The sequence below is a fragment of the Homo sapiens genome, chromosome 1 (assembly GCF_000001405.40).
Source record: "Homo sapiens chromosome 1, GRCh38.p14 Primary Assembly".
NCBI classification, from domain to species: Eukaryota; Metazoa; Chordata; class Mammalia; order Primates; family Hominidae; genus Homo; species Homo sapiens.
Genome location: NC_000001.11, coordinates 248,507,623 through 248,527,908, shown reverse-complemented (window position 1 = coordinate 248,527,908; position 20,286 = coordinate 248,507,623). Strand labels below are relative to the sequence as shown.

General features: G+C 38.1%; 1 protein-coding gene and 1 long non-coding RNA gene across 3 annotated transcripts in view; one reads left to right on the top strand and one right to left on the bottom strand.

Moving 5' to 3' along the window:
- Positions 1-20,286, top strand: part of LOC105373277 (uncharacterized) — a 52,164-nt gene that overhangs the window by 8,876 nt on the left and 23,002 nt on the right. The window contains exon 1 of one of the 2 annotated variants that reach the window (XR_001738575.2): positions 15,384-15,443. The exons of the other annotated variant lie outside the window; for it this stretch is intronic. This is a non-coding gene — a long non-coding RNA (uncharacterized LOC105373277). Of the gene's footprint in view, positions 1-15,383; positions 15,444-20,286 lie in introns of those variants that run through there. 2 annotated transcript variants of the gene reach the window in all.
- On the bottom strand, positions 572-19,836 carry OR2G6 (olfactory receptor family 2 subfamily G member 6). The gene is made up of 2 exons (NM_001013355.2): positions 19,480-19,836; positions 572-6,298 (listed from the first exon to the last, which is right to left on the bottom strand). Exon 2 carries the CDS (start codon positions 6,260-6,262, stop codon positions 5,312-5,314), a length of 951 nt encoding a protein of 316 aa, NP_001013373.1. The 5' UTR covers positions 6,263-6,298; positions 19,480-19,836; the 3' UTR covers positions 572-5,311.

Sequence of the window (20,286 nt, the reverse complement as noted above, 5' to 3'; positions counted from 1 at the left end):
AGGTCTTTGCTATTGTGAATACTGCTGCAATAAACATACATGTGCATGTGTCTTTATAGCAGCATGATTTATAATCCTTTGGGTATATACCCAGTAATGGGATGGCTGGGTCAAATGGTATTTCTAGTTCTAGATACCTGAGGAATCACCACACTGTTTTCCACAATGGTTGAACCAGTTTACAGTCCCACCAACAGTGTAAAAGTGTTCCTATTTCTCCACATCCTCTCCAGCACCTGTTTGCTCAATGAAATAAAAGAGGATACAAACAAATGGAAGAACATTCCATGCTCATGGATAGGAAGAAGAAATACCATGAAAATGGCCATACTGCCCAAGGTAATTTATAGATTCAATGCCATCCCCATCAAGCTACCAATGACTTTCTTCACAGAATTGGAAAAAACTAAAGTTCATATGGAACCAAAAAAGAGCCTGCATCGCCAAGTCAATCCTAAGCCAAAAGAACAAAGCTGGAGGCATCATGCTACCTAACTTTAAACTATACTACAAGGCTACAGTAACCAAAATAGCATGGCACTGGTACCAAAACAGAGAGATAGACCAATGGAACAGAACAGAACCCTCCGAAATAATACCACACATCTTCAACTATCTGATCTTTGACAAACCTGACAAAACAAGAAATAGGGAAAGGATTCCCTATTTAACAAATGGTGCTGGGAAAACTGACTAGCCATATGTAGAAAGCTGAAACTGGATCCCTTCCTTACACCTTATACAAAAATTAATTCAAGATGGATTAAAGACGTAAATGTTAGACCTAAAACCATAAAAACCCTAGAAGAAAACCTAGGCAATTCCATTCAGGACATAGGCATGGATAAGGACTTCATGTCTAAAACACCAAAAGCAATGGCAACAAAAGCCAAAATTGACAAATGGGATCTAATTAAACTAAAGAGCTTCTGCACAGCAAAAGAAACTACCATCAGAGTGTACAGGCAACCTAGAGAATGGGAGAAAATTTTTGCAGTCTACTCATCTGACAAAGGGATAATATCCAGAATCTACAAAGAACTCAAACAAATTTACAAGAAAAAAAAAACCCATCAAAAAGTGGGCGAAAGATATGAACAGACACTTCTCAAAAGATATTTATGCAGCCCACAGCCACATGAAAAAATGCTCATTATCACTGGCCATCAGAGAAATGCAAATCAAAACCACAATGAGATATCATCTCACACCAGTTAGAATGGCAATCATTAAATAGTTACTACTGAGATCAGGTTATGGTGAACAGAGAGCTCTGGGCATATTTCAAATGTTTATTTTCTCCTCTCTCTGCCAAAGCAAAAGGGAATTTCTCTCTACTTTGCACAGTGAGAAGCTGTTGAGACTCCTGAAGGTAAAAATCATGAGTATAGGGAGGATTTCCTAAGACTGGGGCTCAACATTTTTTTTATTTGTCAAGTTAGTTCACATGAGCTTCCAGCAATTGATAAATTCAACTTTAAGTATCCCTATGGTACCAGCCCCAGCTGCTGATTACTGTTCCAGGACATTTATTGAAGAAACTCTCCTTTCCCCAGTGTATGTTCTTGGCACCTTTGTCAAAAATCAGTTGGCTGTAAATACATGAATCTATTTCTAGGTTCTCCATTCTGTTCTATTGGCCCATGTGTCTGTTTTTATGCCAATACCAGGCTGTTTTGGTAACTATAACTTGGTAGTATATTTTGAAGTCTAGTAATGTGATGGCTCCAGCTTTTTTCCTCTTTTTGCTCAGGATAGCTTTGGCCATTCTGTGTTGCTTTTATTATAAGACCCTTGTTTATTTTTCTTGGTACTTTTATTTTCCCTGTCTGATCATTCATACTCAAATGAGACCAAAGTGATAACATATACATTTTTTTCTTTTTTTTTTGAGATGGAGTCTTGCTCTGTTGCCCAGGCTGGAGTACAGTGGCACGATCTTGGCTCACTGCAACCTCTGCCTCCTAGGTTCAAGCAATTCTCCTGCCTCAGCCTCCTGAGTAACTGGGATTATAGGCATGCACCACTGTGCCTGGCTAATTTTTTGTATTTTTTTTAGGAGACATGGGGTTTCACCATGCTGGCCAGGCTGAGCTTGAACTCCTGACCTCATGATCCACCTGACTCAGCCTCCCAAAGTGCTATGATTACAAGTGTGAGCCACTGTGCCCTGCCTAAGATTAATATTTTTATGTGTGAATTTGATCTTGTCATCGTGATGCTAGCTGGTTATTTTGCACATTAGGTAATGCAGTTTCTTCACAGTATCATTGGTCTTTATATTTTGGTGTTTTTTTGTAGTAGCTGGTACTTGTCTTTTTACTGACCATTTGGGTTAGGGTTTAAATAGTAAGTGCCTCCCATTTTTCTTCTCTGAGCTGTGGTCCTATATGGTTTTTGTTTTTCATGAATTCATTAATATTTGTTATGTAAAATCATTTTATTTTTTCTTAAAAATATCTTTTAAAAAAAATTCATGGTGTTTGGAGTGGTGGAACCATATACTTATTACAGCATTCTCATTGTATAGTTTTTAAATAATTGCAATACTGAATGGTCATTTAACTAAGTGATAGTTTTTTTCTTGGCGCATCCTTTGAAAACGTGTTCTGCAGATCAAGCTAGTAATGTGTGCAAATTGACTGATGTGTACCTGTTTTAGATTTACTAATTGTATTTATAAAATACATTATAAGTACATAATTATAAGCATTCACAAACAAAAGTATGCTCAATGTAGGTATTTAAAAAAGAGAAACTACTCATGTTATTCAATTATAGGGAAGATTTTTAATAAATGGTGGATATTTTTTAGATTAATCAGAAAAATGCTCACATTATAAATAAAAATAGTATGAAATTATACATGTATGATGATTATAAAAGCAGTATAAACATATCCATATCATAGGAAAGCTCTAAATTCAAGAAAGTAGTAACAGGATTTTATTTTCAAATGTGTTCCCATTTTCATCTGCAGTTAAGTAGTTTTTTTAGGTTGCTTTGCCTATGTTATATCTATTATTTTCTGGTTTCCTTTTGGGTGCAAATAACTTACAGCTAAAGATGCTAATTTCAGCAATAAGCAGATATTCTATTTTTTTCTGAATTATGTTTGAATTTATTGTATACAGTAATAATTTGATTTTATTTTCAGTGGGATTTGTATTCCATATTACCTTAAATGGATGTGAGTTTGTCTTTGAAAATGGTTGCTTCACAATTCATATGTAGGTTTTTCTACATATTGTGTTCATATCATTGCTTTACACATGGTTGTCTTTTCACCTGGAGCTATTTCTTTCCTTTAAATGCCACATCTTTTGCCCTGGGGCCATATTCCATGTAAATTGATTGAGACTCTGACACAGGTACATTCTTTCCTATGCTGTGTTGCTCGGGTTATCAGGAATAATGCATTTGTACATGTGACGCTTCCTGTAGAACTACTTCTCTACTTGCATATTGTAAATAAAAACATGTGCTCCTCAGCATGTTCTGCTCAGTTCCCAACTCTCCTCTCCATTACTGGAGGAGGAAAATCACATAAGAATATCCTAGAAGACAAATTTAACCAGGCTTCTTTTCCCTCGTTTTTGTTAAATTGGATATTCATCATTTTGTTTGCTAAAAGTATATTGAAGAGGTGCCAGCTGGACAGGGTATTTGTGAAGAGGCAGCCTGAGTCATTAGTGAATTCTCCTGATGCCTTTTTGTTCTTGTGTGCGCAGCCATTTTGCCTTCAGTCCAGGCTTTGGTAGGAGAGGCAGGTCCAAACGTTATCCTTAACATTCGTAGACAGGCTACAATATTCTCACACCAGGATGAATTATTATAAATCTGAATGTTGGAAGGCTGAGGCAGAGGGATCACTTAAACCCAGGAGGTCAAGGCTGCAGTGAGCCATGATTGAGCCACTGCACTCCAGCCTGGGCAACAGAGCAAGACCCTGTCCAAAAAAGAAAAGTCTAAATCACTTGAAAATTCCACTTCCACCCCAGATTCTGCCTGCATTTTACTCTTCATTTGCATTGATGTTTTCATGCTTTTTTCATGTGTATCATAATGAGAATATGAAGTAAAATTACAACCACAGATTAAATCACTTTTTTCTATAATTGCACAGTTCTCTTAAAATACTTGAGGTTGACGAATTGATGAAGTTCAATCGTTTTGGGAAAAGAAAGCAAGAAAGAGGCTGAGACACACAAAGATACACAGAGAGATAGAGACAGAATTAAATCAGAAAGTAAAAGTTTGGTCAAATATAAGAATACATTTATTAAAATGCTTCTAAATATTTCATTTTTTTTGCTGTTTTGGAAACCAAACATATAACTATGATCGTTAACGTGAGACAGTGTGTGGGATTCATATTTCAAATTTTTGAAGTATAAAATTACATAAGTAACTGTTTTCCAGAGTTTAAGGCCAAAAACAATAACTTATTTTATGAATTTTGTATAAATGTTAAAACACATTTTAGTATATGGCAATTTTACTCAACTTTTAATCAATCTCCTTAATTCAAGTTTGCTTATTTGATTCCTTTAATAAAATATTAGTCATTATTTGCATCCCACAATTCTGTGGAACCAAAGCATCACAACTCTTAATATTTGTGTTTCTCGTGTTGTAAATAAGCCAATAGAGTGGGATGGTTCCATTCTCCAGTTAAAAGTGACATATTCTGGGAAAATGGTCATGTATTTTTTCAGTCTGTTATATACATTGCTTTGCCTAGTTAGAGATATATGTATACATATATCTCAAATGTGAAATGTAGAAATGGTAGTGTGGATCAAGTGCTATGGAAACATATTATGAAACAGTTAATTCTGCACAAGGATGAGAAGGATGGTGTTTCAGGACAGCTAGTGAGTGCAGGTGACATTTCAGCTGAGTTTTGAAGCATTAGTAGAAGTCTATCAGATGGGCTGGCACATTAGAAGGAAATAATGGATACATGAACCTTGATGGCAGGTGGATGAAGGACAAACATTTTTTTCCAGATAGAACACAGGGTCTTGGATTGACAAGAGGAATGTCTGGGAGGATGAACCCTCATGCTGCTTTGGTGTGTTTCTCTTCTTTAGAATTCCAATGCTTCCTAGTCCCTGTGGCTTTGGGATTGACAAGAGGAATGTCTGGGGAGGATGAATCCTCACGCTGCCTTGAGGTGTTTCCCTTCTTTAGAATTCCAATGCTTCCTAGTCCCTGTGGCTTTGGGATTGACAAGAGGAATGTCTGGGGAGGATGAACCCTCACTCTGCCTTGAGGTGTTTCCCTTGTTTAGAATTCCAGGTGTTTCCTAGTCCTTGTGGCTTTGTCCAGCAGCACTACCCAGTATCAGGGTCCTCAAGGCCCCTTTCACATCTTTGTTTCTCAGAGTGTAGATAATGGGGTTTAAAAGTGGGGTGACTATGGTATAGAAAAGAGAAACAAACTTTCCCTGGTTTTTGGATCTCCTATTGGCCGGTTGAAGGTACATGAATATGATGGTCCCATAGAAAATGATGACCACAACCAGGTGAGACGAACAGGTCCCAAAGGCCTTTTGGCGGCCCGCAGCTGATTTTATCCTTAACACAGCTTGAGTGATAAAGCCATAGGAGACTAAGATGAGTAACACCGGGACAATTAGAAAGACTACACTGGCCACAAAGAGTTCTGCCTCGTTGAAAGTCGTATCCACACAGGCCAGTTTGATGAGCACTGGCACCTCACAGAAAATATGATCCAGTGTGCGATGACCACAGAGGGGCAGCTGCACAGTGAGGGAGCACTGAATTAGGGAGGTGATGAGGCCGCTGAGCCATGCTCCACCGGCCAGAGACGCACAGAACCTGGGGTGCATAATGGCTATGTAGCGCAGTGGCCGGCAGACAGCAGCATAGCGGTCATAAGCCATGACGGCCAAGAGAATACACTCAGACGAGCCCAACCCCATGGCCACATAGAGCTGGGCCACACAGCCACCGTAGCTCATGGTTTTGTCTTTCTTATTCATGGTAACCAGCAACTGTGGGGCAACACTGGTGGTAAAGCAGATGTCCACACACGAGAGGTTGCTGAGGAAGAAGTACATTGGAGTGTGGAGTCTGGAGTCCAGACAACATACTAGTATGAGGGCAGTGTTCCCCAGAAGGCTCAAGACGTAGAAGTACAAAATGATGGCAAAAAGAAACCTCTCTAGCTGAGGCTGATCTGAAAATCCCAGGAGAAGAAATCCCTTTTCAGAGCTGTTGTTGGTTTCCTCCATTTTTCCTGCAGCTTCAGGACTCTTCAGCTTCAAATACTAAGTGATTAATATTTGGGGATAGAAAGTAATGAGGTCAAGAATGGTAATCCACAGTCGTTTACAGTATAATTATCTTCCTTATATATCACCTAAAACATGTTGTGAAGACCTATAGAACTTTCCTCAACATAAATCCATGGGCGGGAAATGCCACTTCCTTCTATTTTTATTGAATAAAGTTTTACTCAAACAACAAAAGTATTGTATTAACATTTGTTTTATTTGATATTTGTATTTATTCACTCTTTGCTTATTCTTGTACTTTGCCCATTTTTACACCGATATATTTATATGTTCAAATGATGTATTTATGCAGGTAAAGCAACTGACCCAATGTCCTTTTGATGCAAATATTTTGTTATATGTATACAAATATATATATTTTTTGAGATGGAGTCGTTCTGTCGCCTGGACTAGAGTACAGTGCCGTGATCTCTGTTCCCTTCAACCTCTGCTTCCTGGGTTCAAGTAATTCTCTTGCCTCAGCCTCAAGAGTAGCTGAGACTACAGGCGTGTGCCACCACTCCCAGCTAATTGTTGTATTTTTTTTTTTTTTTTTTTTTTTTTAGATGGAATCTCACTCTGTCTCCCAGGGTGGAGTGCAGTGGCACAATCTCTGCTCACTGCAAACCACCTCCCACGTTCAAGCAATTCTCCTGCCTTAGCCTCCCAAGTAGCTGGGATTACAGGCACAGGCCCCATGCCCGCTAATTTTTGTGTGTATATATATATATTTTTATATATATATATATTTTTTTTTAGTAGAGATGGGGGTTTCACCATGTTGGCCAGGCTGGTCTGGAACTCCTGACCTCAGGTGACCTAACTACCTCAGCCTCCCAAAGTGCTGGGATTATAGGCGTGAGCCACTGTGCCTGGCCTAATTTTTGTAATTTTAGTACAAATGGTGTTTCACCATGTTGGCTAGGGTGCTCTTGAACAACTGACCTCAAGTGATCCACCTGACTCAGCCTCCCAAAGTGCTGGGGTTACAGGCATGAGTCACTGTGCCCGACCTCTATACAAATCTTGACTAATATTCACAAGCTACTATCAAAGTGATATTGTCAAATGCCAAGTCAAAATAAAAGGGAGAATTTGTAAAATGAAATGTGTGTACATGTTACTCTATATGTATAAGAGTTGTCTAAGTAGAATTACATCGAAAGCCAAAGCAAACTTTTTTTTAAACTATAAGTTCTAGGGTACATGTGCAGAACGTGCACGTTACATAAGTATACACATGCCATGGTGGTTTCCTGCAGCCATCAAATTGTCATCTATGTTAGGTATTTCTCCTAATGCTATCCCTCCTTCCTAGCCCCCCAACCCACCAACAGGCCCTGGTGTGTGATGTTCCCCTCCCTGTGTCCATGTGTTCTTATTGTTCAACTCCCATTTATGAATGAGAACATGCGATGTTTGCTTTTCTGTTCTTGTGTTAGTTTGCTGAAAATGATGGTTTCCACCTTCATCCATGTCCCTGCAAAGGACATGAATGCATCCTTTTCTATGGCTGCATAGTATTCCATGGTGTATATGTGCCACACTTTCTTTATCCAGTCTATCATTGATGGGCATTTAGGTTGATTCCAAGTCTTTGCTGTTGTGAATAGTGCCACAATAAACATGTGTCCATGTGACTTTATAGAATGATTTATAATCCTTTGGATATATATGCCACACTGCCCAAAGTAAGTTATAGATTCAATGCTATCCCCATCAAGCTAGCTTGACCTTCTTCACAGAATTAGAAAAAACTACTTTAAATTTCATATGGAACCAAAAAAAGGCCATATAGCCAAGACAATCCTAAGCAAAAAGGACAAAGCTGGAGGCATCACACTACCTGACTTCGAACTATACTACAAGGCTACAGTAACCAAAACAGCATGGTAGTGGTACCAAAACAGATATATAGACCAATGGAACAGAACAGAGGCCTCGGAAATAACACCGCACATCTACAACCATCTGATCTTTGACAAAACTGACAAAAACAAGCAATGGGAAAAAAAATTCCCTGTTTAATAAATGGTGCTGGGAAAACTGGCTAGCCATATGCAGAAAACTGAAACTGGACTTCTTCCTTACATCTTATAAAAAATTAACTCAAGATAGATTAAAGACTTAAATGTTAGACCTAAAACAATAAAAACCCTAGAAGAAAACCTAGGCAATACCATTCAGGACATAGACGTGGGTAAAGACTTCATGACTAAAACACCAAAAGCAATGGCAACAAAAGCCAAAGTTGACAAATGGGATCTAATTAAAGAGCTTCTGTGCAGCAAAGGAAACTATCATCATAGTGAACAGGCAAGCTATAGAATGGGAGAAAACCAAAAACCCTTCTGTACATCACCATCATCGAAGACCAAAAGTAGATAAAACCACAAAGATGGGAAAAAACAGAACAGAAAAACTGGAAACTCTAAAAAGCAGAGCGCCTCTCCTCTTCCAAAGGAACGCAGTTCCTCACCAGCAACGGAACAAAGCTGGATGGAGAATGACTTTGACGAGCTGAGAGAAGAAGGCTTCAGACGATCAAATTACTCTGAGCTACGGGAGGACATTCAAACTAAAGGCAAAGAAGTTGAAAACTTTGAAAAAAATTTAGAAGAATGTATAACTAGAATAACCAATACAGAGAAATGCTTAAAGGAGCTGATGGAGCTGAAAACCAAGGCTTGAGAACTACATGAAGAATGCAGAAGCCTCAGGAGGCAATGCAATCAACTGGAGAAAGGCTATCAGTGATGGAAGATGAAATGAATCAAATGAAGTGAGAAGGGAAGTTTAGAGAAAAAAGAATAAAAAGAGCAAAGCCTCCAAGAAATATGGGACTATGTGAAAAGACCAAATCTACATCTGATTGGTGTACCTGAAAGTGATGGTGAGAATGGAACCAAGTTGGAAAACACTCTGCAGGATATTATCCAGGAGAACTTCCCCAATCTAGCAAGGCAGGCCAAAATTCAGGTTCAGGAAATACAGAGAATGCCACAAAGATACTCCTCGAGAAGAGCAACTCCAAGAAACATAATTGTCAGATTCACCAAAGTTGAAATGAAGGAAAAAATGTTAAGGGCAGCCAGAGAGAAAGGTCAGGTTACCCTCAAAGGGAAGCCCATCAGACTAACAGCGGATCTCTTGGCAGAAACCCTACAAGCCAGAAGAGAGTGGGGGCCAATATTCAACATTCTAAAGAAAAGAATTTTCAACCCAGAATTTCATATCCAGCCAAACTAAGCTTCCTAAATGAAGGAGAAATAAAATACTTTACAGACAAGCAAATGCTGAGAGATTTTGTCACCACCAGGCCTGCCCTAAAAGAGCTCCTGAAGGAAGCACTAAACATGGAAAGGAACAACCGGTACCAGCCGCTGCAAAATCATGCCAAAATGTAAAGACCATTGAGACTAGGAAGAAACTGCATCAACTAACGAGCAAAATAACCAGCTGACATCATAATGACAGGATCAGATTCACACATAACAATATTAACTTTAAATGTAAATGGACTAAATGTTCCAATTAAAAGACACAGACTGGCAAATTGGATAAACAGTCAAGACCCATCAGTGTGCTGTATTCAGGAAACCCATCTCACGTGCAGAGACACACATAGGCTCAAAATAAAAGGATGGAGGAAAATATACCAAGCAAATGGAAAACAAAAAAAGGCAGGGGTTGCAATCCTAGTCTGATAAAACAGACTTTAAACCAACAAAGATCAAAAGAGACAAAGAAGGCCATTACATAATGGTAAAGGGATCAATTCAACAAGAAGAGCCAACTATCCTAAATATATATGCACCCAACAGAGGAGCACTCAGATTCATAAAGCAAGTCCTGAGTGACCTACAAAGAGACTTAGACTCCCACACATTAATAATGGGAGACTTTAACACCCCACTGTCAACATTAGACAGATCAACAAGACAGAAAGTCAACAAGGATACCCAGGAATTGAACTCAGCTCTGCACCAAGCAGACCTAATAGACATCTACAGAACTCTCCATCCCAAATCAACAGAATATACATTTTTTTCAGCACCACACCACACCTATTCCAAAATTGACCACATACTTGGAAGTAAAGCTCTCCTCAGCAAATGTAAAAGAACAGAAATTATAACAAACTATCTCTCAGACCACAGTGCAATCAAACTAGAACTAAGGATTAAGAATCTCACTCAAAACCACTCAACTACATGGAAACTGAACAACCTGCTCCTGAATGACTACTGGGTATATAACAAAATGAAGGCAGAAATAAAGATGTTCTTTGAAACCAATGAGAACAAAGACACAACATACCAGAATCTCTGGGACACATTCAAAGCAGTGTGTAGAGGGAAATTTATAGCACTAAATGCCCACAAGAGAAAGCAGGAAAGATCCAAAATTGACACCCTAACATCACAATTAAAAGAAGTAGAAAAGCAAGAGCAAACACATTCAAAAGCTAGCAGAAGGCAAGAAATAACTAAAATCAGAGCAGAACTGAAGGAAATAGACACACAAAAAACCCATCAAAAAATTAATGAATCCAGGAGCTGGTTTTTTGAAAGGATCAACAAAATAGACCGCTAGCAAGACTAATAAAAAAAGAGAGAAGAATCAAATAGAAGCAATAAAAAATGATAAAGGGGATATCACCACCTATCCCACAGAAATACAAACTACCATCAGAGAATACTACAAACACCTCTACGCAAATAAACTAGAAAATCTAGAAGAAATGGATAAATTCCTCGACACATACACTCTCCCAAGACTAAACCAGGAAGAAGTTGAATCTCTGAATAGACCAATAACAGGATTTGAAATTGTGGCAATAATCAATAGCTTACCAACCAAAAAGAGTCCAGGACCAGACGGATTCACAGCCGAATTCTGCCAGAGGTACAAGGAGGAACTGGTACCATTCCTTCTGAAACTATTCCAATCAATAGAAAAAGAAGGAATCCTCCCTAACTCATTTTATGAGGCCAGCATCATCCTGATACCAAAGCTGGGCAGAGACACAACCAAAAAAGAGAATTTTAGACCAATATCCTTGATGAACATTGATGCAAAAATCCTCAATAAAATACTGGCAAACCGAATCCAGCAGCACATCAAAAAGCTTATCCACCATGATCGAGTGGGCTTCATCCCTGGGATGCAAGGCTGGTTCAATATAAGCAAATCAATCAATGTAATCCAGCATATAAACAGAGCCAAAGACAAAAACCACATGATTATCTCAATAGATGCAGAAAAGGCCTTTGACAAAATTCAACAACCCTTCATGCTAAAAACTCTCAATAAATTAGGTATTGATGGGATGTATTTCAAAATCATAAGAGCTATCTATGACAAAGCCACAGCCAATATCATACTGAATGGGCATAAACTGGAAGCATTCCCTTTGAAAACTGGCACAAGACAGGATGCCCTCTCTCACCACTCCTATTCAACATAGTGTTGGAAGTTCTGGCCAGGGCAATTAGGCAGGAGAAGGAAATAAAGGGTATTCAATTAGGAAAAGAGGAAGTCAAATTGTCCCTGTTTGCAGATGACATGATTGTATATCTAGAAAACCCCATTGTCTCAGCCCAAAATCTCCTTAAGCTGATAAGCAACTTCAGCAAAATCTCAGGATACAAAATCAGTGTACAAAAATCATAAGCATTCTTATACACCAACAATAGACAGAGAGCCAAATCATGAGTGAACTCCCATTCACAATTGCTTCAAAGAGAATAAAATACCTAGGAATCCAACTTACAAGGGATGTGAAGGACATCTTCAAGGAGAACTACAAACCACTGCTCAAGGAAATAAAAGAGGATACAAACAAATGGAAGAACATTCTATGCTCATGGGTAGGAAGAATCAATATCATGAAAATGGCCATACTGCCCAAGGTAATTTACAGATTCAATGCCATCCCCATCAAGCTACCAATGCCTTTCTTCACAGAATTGGAAAAAACTACTTTAAAGTTCATATGGAACCAAAAAAGAGCCCACATCACCAAGTCAATCCTAAGCCAAAAGAACAAACCTCGAGGCATCACACTACCTGAATTCAAACTATACTACAAGGCTACAGTAACCAAAACAGCATGGTACTGGTACCAAAACAGAAATATAGATCAATGGAACAGAACAGAGCCCTCAGAAATAACGCCGCATATCTACAACTATCTGATCTTTGACAAACCTGAGAAAAGCAATGGGGAAAGGATTCCCTATTTAATAAATGGTGCTGGGAAAATTGGCTAGCAATATGTAGAAAGCTGAAACTGGATCCCTTCCTTACACCTTATACAAAAATCAATTCAAGATGGATTAAAGACTTAAACGTTAGACCTAAAACCATAAAAGCCCTAGAAGAAAACCTAGGCAGTACCATTCAGGACATAGGCATGGGCAAGGACTTCATGTCTAAAACACCAAAAGCAATGGCAGCAAAAGCCAAAATTGACAAATGGGATCTAATTAAACTAAAGAGCTTCTGCACAGCAAAAGAAACTACCATCAGACTGAACAGGCAACCTACAAAATGGGAGGAAATTTTCGCAACCTACTCATCTGACAAAGGGCTAATATCCAGAATCTACAATGAACTCAAACAAATTTACAAGAAAAAAACAACCCCATCAAAAAGTGGGTGAAGGATATGAACAGACACTTCTCAAAAGAAGATATTTATGCAGCCAAAAAACACATGAAAAATGCTCATCATCACCGGCCATCAGAGAAATGCAAATCAAAACCACAATGAGATACCATCTCACACCAGTTAGAATGGCAAACATTAAAAAGTCAGGAAACAACAGGTGCTGGAGAGGATGTGGAGAAATAGAAACATTTTTACACTGTTGGTGGGACTGTAAACTAGTTCAACCATTGTGGAAGTCAGTGTGGCGATTCCTCAGGGATCTAGAACTAGAAATACCATTTGACTCAGCCATCCCATTACTGGGTATATACCCAAAGGACTATAAATCATGCTGCTATAAGACCCATGCACACGTATGTTTATTGCGGCATTATTCACAATAGCAAAGACTTGGAACCAACCCAAATGTCCAACAATGATAGACTGGATTAAGAAAATGTGGCACATATACACCATGGAATACTATGCAGCCATAAAAAAGGATGAGTTCATGTCCTTTGTAGGGACATGGATGAAATTGGAAATCATCATTCTCAGTAAACTATCGCAAGAACAAAAAACCAAACACCGCATAATCTCACTCATAGGTGGGAATTGAACAATGAGATCACATGGACACAGGAAGGGGAACATCACACTCTGGGGACTGTTGTGGGGTGGGGGGAGGGATAGCATTGGGAGATATACCTAATGCTAGATGACGAGTTAGTGGGTGCAGCGCACCAGCATGGCACATGTATACGTATGTAACTAATCTGCACAATGTGCACATGTACCCTAAAACTTAAAGTATAATAATAAAAGAAAAACTTAAACAAAACAAAAAAAAAAACACACACACAAAAGAAAATGTGGCACATATACACCATGGAATACTCTGCAGCCTTAAAAAATGATGAGTTCTTGTCCTTTGTAGGGAGATGGATGAAGCTGGAAACCATCATTCTCAGCAAACTATTGCAAAACAAAAAACCAAACATCGCATGTTCTCACTTATAGGTGGGAATTGAACAATAAGAACACCTGGACACAGGAAGGGGGACATCACACACCAGGGCCTGTTGTGGGGTGGGGGGAGGAGGGAGGGATAGCATTAGGACATATACCTAATGTAAATGACGAGTTAATGGGTGTAGCACACCAACATGGCACATGTATACATATGTAACAAACCTGCACGTTGTGTACATGTACCCTAGAACTTAAAGTATAATTAAAAAAAATAAACTATTTAACAGAGGCTGCCGTATTACTGGGGTTTTACCACAGGCTAACCAATATGCTAGAAGGAAAATACCCAACTCCAGGTCCTTCTAACCTGTGTCACACCTATGTGGGGGTGGGCAGGGGATGTTAAGAAGCTCTTTGAAGGTTGCAGTCCAAGAACACATGCTGGCAAATAGATTCAGACCAATTTGTAGGACTATAGAATGATTTCTCTCCCTTCCACACTGACAAACACATTAAAATATCTCATGTATGATAACAGAGGATGCACATGGAAGGATGACAAGCCTCAAATCCTGTTTAACAATGAATCTGTAGAAAAGCCAAAGATAACAGAGGACACAAAAATAAGAACACTAGAGCAAATTATGGCCTCTGACATCAGAGGTAAAACTAGCGATAAACATAGCCTAACACATAAACATAAACTTCACACTAAACGCCTGTTTATCTTTACCTAACACATCATGTAAATTATGGTAAGAATTGTATCCCCACAGACTCATATATTGAAGTCATACCCCCAACTATCTCAGAATGTACCCTTATTTGGAAATAGGACCATTGCAGATGTAATTAGTTAATTGAAGATGAGAACATACTCTAGTAGAAAGTGTCCCTAATCCAATATGATTGAAGAAAAAGTAGTAACAACATATTTTAATGAGTCATATACTATTGAAACAGAGAAAACAGTCCAGCACGCACTGAACTCAATTTTGATGTATACAGAGTTGACGATCATTTTAAACTTGACGAAACTCTAGCCAGGGTCTTCTGAGCCTTCTCAATTCAGCCTTAACTTTGGTCTATAAAAACTTGAAAAAGACAGGAACATAGTTGGTAACAGTTCAAGTCTACATCTCTAGAACGAACGACCCAGTCTCCCTTAAAGTGAACTGTCTGAGAAAACTGAAACCTGCCTGTCTTCATGGTTCCTATAACAAAAATACCATGGCCTTACACAACACTTATTTCTCACATTTCCACAGATTGGAAAGTCCACAATAAAGGTGCCAGCCAGTTTGGTCTGTAAGGACCCATTTTCTGATTTATAGAGCATGGTCTTCTTGCTGTGCCCTCACATGGCAGAAGAGGCAAGAAAGCTCTCTGGAGTCTCTTTTATGAGGTCACTAAGGCCATTCATGAGTTCATCACTCATGATCTAATCAACCCCCAAAGACTTCCTCTCCCAATATCATCACATTGGGGTTTAAGATTTCAACATATAACTTATGTAAGTACACAGACAATCTATAGCATGCTTGTCCCAGCCAAGACTTGAAGATAGGCCTGGTGTCTCCTGACCTCTGTGGGAGGGTAGAAGCCCAACATCAGCAAGTATCAGTTAACAAAGCAAATGGGTTTCACAGGAACCAACTCCCCCCTTCTCACGATTTGTAATTTCTCACATCCCTGACCCTCCTGAGCCCCCACTAACTCCCATTTCTCTTTCCTCAAACTCCCTTTAACATTTTCCTCAACCTGGATACATCAAAGTTAAGTTCATGCTGAACTCTTGCCTGTTTCAATAGTATATGACTAGTTAAAGCACGTTCTTACCTCTTTAACCAGTTTTCCATTTTGTTTGTCTTGACAGTTATCTGGCACTGGAACTCAAATCCAGATTGGAACCCTTATCTGGCCCTTGGACAAAACAGTCAATCCTTTCTGCATGCGTAGAAACCTTTGTCTGATCTTCAGTTGACTTACTTTTTTGGGTATTTGGTGGCGAGTTCAACTTCTGGCCTAACACTGTGTAGAAATTTGCACTGAGGCATGGCGAGGACATATTTTCTTCCTATGTTTCTGGCTGTAGTCTCTAAGGCTGGGTTATAATTCCAGGCTGCTTTTGAAAGACATCTCCTGGGCTGGCTGTTTATCTTCCTGGCTCCCTGTTTTCAGTGGGAATTCACTTCCTAACTCCTGTGCTGGAATGTTCACTCTGGCTTCTTGTGAGACCTCTTCATTCTATTTGAACTTACTCTTCCCACAGGAACTCCACAGTTAAACCCCTTTTGGGTTCCTACTCTCTATATATACTATGACACTAACCATGTCTGCTTCTATTTTAGGCAAAATGACTTTACTGTGGATAATTCGGAACTGCAATGGTTTATTTGAAAATCTTAAGATCTGCCTAAAGTGGCTCTTATAGGACTGCTCCCTTCCCATTTCCTTCTTTTTTCCTTCTTTCTTTTACCATCTTAACTTTTTCCATTGAACTCCCCTGACACTTTGATATGCACCTCTTTTCCATTAAACACCCCTGACTTTTGATATATACCCATCCTTTTACCCCTACCAGATGTTTCACTTACCTCTTTAGCCCCTCGACTCCCTATAGTCACTGGAACGTATGCCTCCTGATTCACAGGGGGTTCTCGAGAGACTGATGCACACACAAAGCAACACACGGGGCTTCCTGGAAACAGAGATATAATCTACAGCCTGTGTAAGATTACATTTTAGGTGAAAAACCCACAAATACCCCAAAATATGTTACTAATTAAAATCTGTCCTCACTACCTTAACCAGTGTCTGGGCTTTACCTTTGAAACTGGTGTCCTTATTTAAAAAAAGTTGGACATGCACCCAGGAATATTATCTTTTGAAGATAAAGGAATAGATTGAAGTAATGCTACTTCAAGCCAAGGAATGCCAAAGGTTGTCATCAAACTACCAGAATGCTATGGTACGCATAGCAAATGAATACATCAGCTTTCAACAACATCATCAAAAATTACAAGTCATGGTAGCAGGCAAAAAATATGCTTTAAAAAGAAAAACAAAATTAGAAAAGGACTTGGACATGGCAAGCCAATCATGTGATTTCTTGATGTTTCTTCTGTGTTTTCTGCCTAGAAAAACCCACTGCACTCACTGCTGGGTGGATCTATCTGAACCTCTTATGGCTCTGAGTGCCATCTGAAAAAGATGATGGTTCCCTTTACCTTGAGTCGTTTTCCCCAGATACACTAGAACCCATTATTTCAGTTCTTTTAGGTCTCTTCTGTGCTATTCGATTATCAGAAAAGATTTCAATGACCAATGAATAAAAATGACTGATCTGTCCCTTATGCTGTCTTATTTTTCTTCATAAAATTAACAATCTTGAACATATTTTTTACAATTGTTTCTCTTTTCCACAATATAGTGTCATATTAATAAGATGAGACATTTTGCTCATTTTTATCACTGCTGTGTGCTGAAAGCCTAACACAGTGGTAGCCCCAAAGTAGATGCTCAAAAATAAATATGCTCTGAATGAGTATATTTAGTCATTTCCTGGAAGGAGAGGCTGGGTCAAACAGAGTGCTAAGGACTCAGAATCCTTACTGCTAGAATGACAATGAAATGACAGCATCATGTTAGTGGCACATTTAAAATGAAACAGTATCAATATTGAAAATATTTGTAAGGCTTATTTGAAAAAAGAAAATCATAACACATTTACCTATAATTCAGAAATTTAAATTTCTAGATAATTTCTAAGATTAAGGTTTTTTAATTTCTTAAACTTTTAGATAACCATTTTAAAGAATATATATTGTATATATCTCTGTTATTAAAAAGTAATTGAAAGTAATTACTTCATATTATATTAAGGCATTATAGCTATAAATATGGTGTAAACTGTAATGGTTATTCTGCCCTTTCTTCTCTTGCTACCTCCTGCCATCCTAAGAGAAGTTGCCTTAAGCAGAATTGTCTCATCCCGATCCCCAGAATCACTCTATCCACTCACACATTATCTTTCCCAAGCTTGAGGAAAAAATAACAGAGTGAGAGACGAAGATTATGTATTATTATTGCGACTCTTGGTGTTTGCAAAATTCCAAAATACTGAGATATGGCTAAATAAAATTCTATGCAACTTCTTTTGAATGCATGAATGTATATATTTATGTAAGTTTTATTTTGTTTACATTTTGTTTTGGTAATTAGAGTTTTATTTCCCTTGGTGACAGAACTTTCTGTTGTCTTTCAGATGAGTATATTTTTGATTTTGATTTAAATATAATTTCCCAAAATAAACATTTTTGACTTATACCTATTTTATGTTTTTTATGATGTCAAGTCCATGGCATTTGTTCAGGGCGAGACTTTAATGACTGAACTTCATGATTATCTTTCTACTTGCCAAACACTTCATTTATCTTTCCCATTATTCAAGAGCTGCTATATCCTTGAGTTTGATATTCTTTATCTGGAATTCAATGCAAAGCTCTGCTAAGTGGTCATGATGATCCAAGAGTGGATGTTAGAATTCTAGGATGCCACAGGTCTTTCTCTTTCCATAAATCTTAAAGTCTGTAGGTTTATGAAAGACAGTTTTGTCACAGCCAGTTAGATTCATGGGTTAGCATTGTGGTGTAAGGAGGTGAATATAATGAATGAACTCAGCAATGAACAGGTTTTCTGATGCCAGAAGAAGTTTTCCCTGCGTGTTCTATAGGTCTTGTGCCGTGTATCAAGTATTTCTTCTCTTGATCTACTGTGCAATGGGTATAAGGTTTCAGTGACACAAGATGAAGTCCTAGAGATTGGCTGTGCAGCACCGTGCCTGGAGTTCACAGTACTGAATCGTGCACTGAAAAAGTGTAAGAGGGTAAATTTCCTGTTAAGTGCTCTCACCACACTAAATAAATAAAATTTATCATGAGCCAGGCACTGAACTAAGCTCAGGATATATTATGATGAACAAATTTAGACATGACAAACGATCTCAATAAAACTTAAAATGTTTTGCTACAATAATCACCTGGAAAAAAAAGTCAGTCTTCTCTACAGTATAATGTGGATGGACACAAATGAGTGGTTTTAAGATTATGTTTCCTTCCCTTGTTTTTAAAAAACATTTATAATAAGTAAAATTCTTCAACAAGAGCAAAATCATATCAGTTTCTAGTATCAGTGTTTGCCAAAGACTGCTCTTTAAAATAAAGGGATCACCTCAGTCCAATCTACTTGACATGATCCTACCTTGTCAGACAAGCTAGTCAAGATTTGGAAAAGGCAACTACATTTCAATCCTTTGAAAATCTACATAATCCTAAGCACAGACTTATCAGGATTGGTAATGGGTCAAGTTTAGGGACACGTTACAATTACAATGTAATTTTTGGCTGTAGTTGATCAGCAAGTTTACATCCATATATTCATCCAAGTTGCTCTTCCTCAAAAAAATTAATATGTTGACATTTCTACCTGCAAGATTTGTGATTCATGTTTTAATTATTACAATTTTCATATAACATGTTTTAGAATACCTGATATTGTGGGTGATCTCAATTTCTTCCTGGGTGATCTTTCCTGGTTTAATATTTGTATGATTCCAATGATAAATCTCAGATAATATAAATAGCAAAAAATTAAAATACTGAGAAAATAATATACAACTTATTAGGGGAGAAAGAGGAAGAGATGCTCCCTTAGTGGCACACAGAAGGTGGGATGCCTGGTCTGCTTTTTCTATATTTTTGCATATTTGGGGTTCAGAAAACTGAAACCCATAGAGTCACCATATGCTACATACACTGAACCTAAAGTAATAAGTAGTTCTGAAAGAGAACAGAGGAGAAGAGGGACTCCCTACAGGGATAAATGGTCCAGACTTAAGGTATGGCTTATTTATGCTTTCAACACCCCAGGGACTACAATCCCAGCTGACCAATTAAACTTCGAGAGTTTCAGTGGAGATTTAAGGTCCTGGGATTACTTCTGGAAAAAAATTAAAAAGCTTACCGTGCAATTGGCCCAATACTCAAACCAAAATCTAATGGACAGAAAATATACAATTTACAAACTTGTGCTTTTTTTAAATGTTAATTAAAAATATGTTTATTAAACCCACAGATTTTTTTAGTTGGAAATTTTAAAATTAAATTTGATTAATGAAAAAATAAAATATAAGGAAAAATGACATTTGGAAGCAAAATGAAGAATTTCAGAAGAAAGAAAACATTCAACTAAATGATCTTTTGAACATATTGAATTCAGTTTGCTAGTGTTGAGAATCTTTACATCCATGATCATAAAATAAATTGGCCTGTAATTTTCTTATACCGTCCTTGTCT

Excerpts from the sequence above, each read along its gene's own strand:
- OR2G6 (NM_001013355.2), bottom strand. The coding sequence starts at position 6,262 with ATGGAGGAAACCAACAACAGCTCTGAAAAGGGATTTCTTCTCCTGGGA.